At 43.9% G+C, this 5,256-nt stretch overlaps 1 pseudogene; it reads left to right on the forward strand.

Moving 5' to 3' along the window:
* RN7SL720P (RNA, 7SL, cytoplasmic 720, pseudogene) lies at window positions 1,696-1,997 on the forward strand (annotated as a pseudogene).

The following is a 5,256-nucleotide window of genomic DNA, read 5'->3' on the forward strand; positions in this document are numbered from 1 at the left end:
AGTATGAAGACCACTGTGCTAACTACATCAAAAACTAGGCACTCAAGGCTGGGTGCAGTGGCTCACGCCTGTAACGCGCTTTGGGAGGCCGAGGTGGGTGGATCACGAGGTCAGGTGTTCGAGATCAGCCTGACCAACATGGTGAAACCCCATCTCCACTAAAAATACAAAAAAATTAGCCAGGCGTGGTGATGCACACCTGTTATCCAGCTACTCAGGAGGCTGAGGCAGGAGAATCGCTTGAACCAGGGAGGCGGAGGTTGCAGTGAGCCAAGATCTCACCACTGCCCTCCAGCTTGGGTGACAAAGCGAGGCTCTGTCTCAAAAAAAAAAAAAAAAAAGGAGGCACTCAGATCACCCACTATTTTCATAAATTATGCTTTTCGAAGATGTTTTTCAAAATAGTAAATTTTCAAAAGCTTAAAACTCATCTCACATGTTATAAAAGGGCATTCTCTTCCCAGAGAGCAAAGCCTTAAAAAATTTATAATAATTACTACTGTACATTTTGTCTCCTTCAGCTCTCACAACATGGTAGTTTCAAGGGTTCCTTCAGGGGCTTACTGGGAAGGAGGCAGCTATGGGCATGGCCCAACAGTCATTCCCCTGTTGCCATGGTTACTAGCCAAGCTAAGCCCTTCTTATGGGTTTCAGCCTGTCCCTCATTCTTCCCCAGAAGCTTGGAAGGCCCAAACTTTAAAACTTCCTATGCAAGCAGGGAGAGGAGAAAGGAGTCATTCCTCCCCTACCAGAATGAGAGTGCCCTGACCCCTAACTGCACATGCAGCTTCCTTGGTAAGAGTCCTGCTACTAGCTGCCAGTCACCTACTACCCTGTCTCTTGTCTCTTTACCCACCGAGAGGGAGGAAGGTCGTGGGCAGGAAAGGGGAACATCAACTCCATGGGATTGTGCAGAACTCTTTTTGGAGGGAGTTGGACTTTCCAAAGTGTTTGAGCAAGGCTTCAAGCAAATCTTTAATCTCATGAGGCAGGGTGACCTCAGCTGGCGTGTGAGTTACACATGTGTTAGCTTCTTTATTCCTCAAAATAACCATAAAATGTAAGGATTATTATATACCTATTTGGTAAATGAGGAAACTAAAATCTGGATAAGTGATTTCCCAAAATTACAAAGCTAAGTAGGGATGGAGTTGAGATTCAAGCCAGGATTGATATGAGAACCCAAACTCTTACTCATGACATAATATAGCCCCTCTATGGACATACATTTTAATTTATTAGCAAGATCTCATTTGCACACAAAGCACTCCTATGGAAGTCAGAGTGAACTGATCAGAGGGCATCAGCCACATGAGTGTTTCAGAGAGGTCATCACTTTTCCTGCTATGGTTTGCCTATTAATTCATGTTCAAAAATTATTCAACAGGCCAGGTGCGGTGGCTCATGCCTGTCATCCCCGCACTTTGGGAGGCCGAGCGGGGCAGATCACCTGAGGTCAGGAGTTCCAGACGAGCCTGGCCTATGTGGTGAAACCCTGTCTTTATTAAAAATACAAACATTAGCCAGGCTTGGTGGCAGGCACCTCTAATCCCAGCCACTCAGGAAGCTGAGGCAGAAGAATTGCTTGAACCCGGGAGGCAGAGGTTGCAATGAGCCAAGACCAAGCCACTGCACTCCAGCCTGGGTGACAAAGCGAGACTCTGTCTCAAAAAAACAAAAAAATTATTCAACATTGCCGGGTGAGGTGGAGGTGGCAGTGCCTGTAGTCACAGCTCCTCAGGAGGCTGAGCTGGGAGGGTCTCTTGAGTCCAGGAGTTCTGGGCTGTAGTGCACTATGCTGATTGGGTGAATGCACTAAGTTGGACATCGATATGGGGACCTTCTGGGGGAGTGGGACCACTGGGTTGCCTAAGGAGGGGTGAACTGGCCCAGGCTGGAAACAGAACAGGTCAAAACACCCCTGCTGATCAGTATTGGAATCACACCTGTGAATAGCTAAAGCATGCCAGCCTGGGCAACACAGTGAGACCCCCTCTATAAGTAATTAAAGTAAAAATTATTTTTAATTTAAATTATTCTTTTTATTATTACTATTTTTTGAGACAGAGGCTCGCTCTATCACCCAGGCTGGAACGTAGTGACGTGATCGTAACTTACTGCAACCTCAAACTCTTGGGCTCAAGCAGTCCTCCCACTTCAGCCTCCTGAGTAGCTGGGATTACAGGCATGTGCCACCAGACCCGGCTAATTTTTTTTTTTTTAATGTAGAGACAGGATCTCACTATGTTGTCCAGACTGGTCTCGAACTCCTGGCTTCCAGTGATCCTCCCACCTCTGCCTCCTGAGGCATTGGGATTATAGGTTTGAGCCACCACAACTGGCCAAAATAAAAATTATTGAATATTCATTTTATTCTAAGCACTAAATAAGAAATAACTAGACATTGGTCCTACACTGAGTTGTTTACAGCCTGTACTCAAATAATTATGATTCAGTCTTACAGGTGCCCCAGAAGGGGAATGTGCAATGTGTATGAGAGTCATAGGAGTGGATGACAGCTTTGGAGAATTGTTCAAGTCTTGAGAGAAGACACGAATTTTAGCTTAATCTATGTAACTGGGTAGAATAGAGGAACCAGAAATCTTACTTATTTTTTCTCTTTAAGATCTTGATTTCTTCTTTTTTTTTCTTTCTTTTTTTTTTTTTTTTTTGAGACAGAGGCTCGCTCTGTTGCCCAGGCTGGAGTGCAGTGGTGTGATCTTGGCTCACTGCAACCCCTGCCTCCCGGGTTCAAGCGATTCTTCTGCCTCAGCCTCCCGAGCAGCTGGGACGAAAGGCACATGCTGCCACGCCCAGCTGATTTTTGTATTTTTAGTAGAGATGCGGTTTCACCATGTTGGCCAGGATGGTCTCTATCTCTTGACCTCGTGATCTGCCCACCTCAGCCTCCCAACGTGCTGGGATTTCAGGTGTGAGCCACCATGCCAAGCCTAATTTTTATTTTTGTTAATCTTACTTTAAGTTCCGGGATACCTATGCAGAACGTGCAGGTTTGTTACATAGGTATACATGTGCCATGGTTGTTTACTGCACCTATTGACCCATCCTCTAAGTTCCCTTTCCTTGCCCCCACCCCCAACAGGGCCTGGTGTGTATTGTTCCCCTCCCTGTGTCCATGTGTTCTCATTGTTCAACTACCACTTATGAGTGAGAATAAGTGGTGTTTGGTTTTCTGTTCCTATGTTAGTTGTTGAGGATGATGGCTTCCACCTTCATCCATGTCCCTGCAAAGGACATAATCTCATTCCTTTTTATGGCTGTGCAGTATTCTATGGTATATATGTACCACATTTTCTTTATCCAGTCTATCACTGATGGGCATTTGAGTTGGTCCCATGACTTTGCTATTGTAAGTAGTGCTGCAGTGAGCATACAAGTGCATGTGTCTTTATAGTAGAATGATTTATATTCCTTTGTGTATATACCCAGTAATGGGATGGCTGGGTCAAATGGTAGTTCTGGTTATAGGTCCTTGAGGAATCACCATACTGTCTTCCACAATGGTTGAACTAATTTACATTCCCACCAACACTGTGAAACCATTCCTATTTCTCCACAGCTTCACCAGGATCCATTGTTTCTTGACTTTTTAATAATTGCCATTCTGACTGGCGTGAGGTGGTATCTACTTGTAGTTTTGATTTGCGTTTCTCTAATGATCAGTGATTTTGAGCTTTTTTTTCATGTTTTTTTGGCCATGTAAATGTCTTCTTTTGAGAAGTGTCTGTTCATATCCTTTGCCCACTTTTTGATGGGGTTGTTTTTTTCTTGCAAATTTGTTTAAGTTCCTTGGAAATTCTGGATATTAGACCTTTGTCAGATGGGTAGATGGCAAAAATTTTCTCCCATTCTGTAGGTTGCCTGTTCACTCTGATGATAGTTTCTTTTGCTGTGCAGAAGCTCTTTAATTAGATCCCATTTGTCAATTTTGGCTTTTGTTGCAATTGCTTTTGGTGTTTTTGTCATGAAATCTTCACCCTTGTTTATGTCCTGAATGGTATTGCCTAGGCTTTTTTTCTAGGGTTTTTATGGTTTTGGGTTTTACATTTAGGTCTTTAATCCACCTTGAGTTAAATTTTGTATAAAGTTTAAGGAAGGGATTCAGTTTCAATTTCCTGCATATGGCCAACCAGTTTTCCCAGCACCATTTATTGAATAGGAGATCCTTTCCTCATTGCTTGTTTTTGTGAGATTTGTTGAAGATCGGATGGTTGTAGATATGTGGTATTATTTCTGAGGTCTCTGTTCTGTTCCATTGGTCAATGTGTCTGTTTTGGTACCAGTACATGTGGTTTTGGTTACTGTAGCCTTGTAGTATAGTTTGAAGTCAGGTAGCATGATACCTCCAGCTTTGTTCTTTTTGCTTAGGATTGTCTTGGTTATAGGGTGTTTTCTTTGGAATCAGAGATCTTGTTCAAAAATCTTAGTTCTATATCTGCTGTGACTTTTGGTAACTAACTTAATATTTCTGAGCCTTGTGACAGGAATGAGAAAAGACACTCCTCATAGGGTTGGTGGAAATATTACATAACATAAAGCATGTGGAGTTTACATATTAATGAGAGTGAGCATTGTTACCTGTAAGATTATTGTCGTAGATGGTGGAAAAGGGGTTCACAAATAATCAGAGAAACTTCATTCCCGAGCGAAGTCCCAGTGGGAGCTGTAGTGATGCTACAAGTCCATTTTTTGTTATTGCTTTCTTTCTTTTTTTTTTTCCTTGAGACGGTGTCTCACTCTGTCGCCCAGGCTGGAGTGCAGTGGCACGATCTTGGCTCATTGCAACCTCCACCTCCCAGGTTCAAGTGATTCTCCCGCATCAGCCTCCTGAGTAGCTGGGATTACAGGCGCCCACCACCACACCCAACTAATTTTTTGTATTTTTAGTAGAGATGGGGTTTCACCATATTGGCCAGGCTGGTCTCGAACTCCTGGCCTCAGGTGATCCTCCTGCCTCTGCCTCCCACAGTGCTGGGATTATAGGCGTGAGCCACTGCGCCTGGCCTGGTTATTGCTTTCAACTATACTGGACCATAGGATGTTGATTTTTTTGACTTTATATGCATATGACTGGTCTCCAGACTCTGACCCAAAGCTATCCCTAGATGGAAATCTGGGGATATATGGCCTGTAGCCTGGGGAATCCTATGCTGCTTTGGAGATCAGCTGATTGGCAGTGACTCACGGAGGGAGGCAACAGATGAGGGAGGTGGGGGTGGGATGAAAATACCTGAG

The sequence above is a fragment of the Homo sapiens genome, chromosome 9 (genome assembly GCF_000001405.40).
Source record: "Homo sapiens chromosome 9, GRCh38.p14 Primary Assembly".
Classification (NCBI taxonomy): domain Eukaryota; kingdom Metazoa; phylum Chordata; class Mammalia; order Primates; family Hominidae; genus Homo; species Homo sapiens.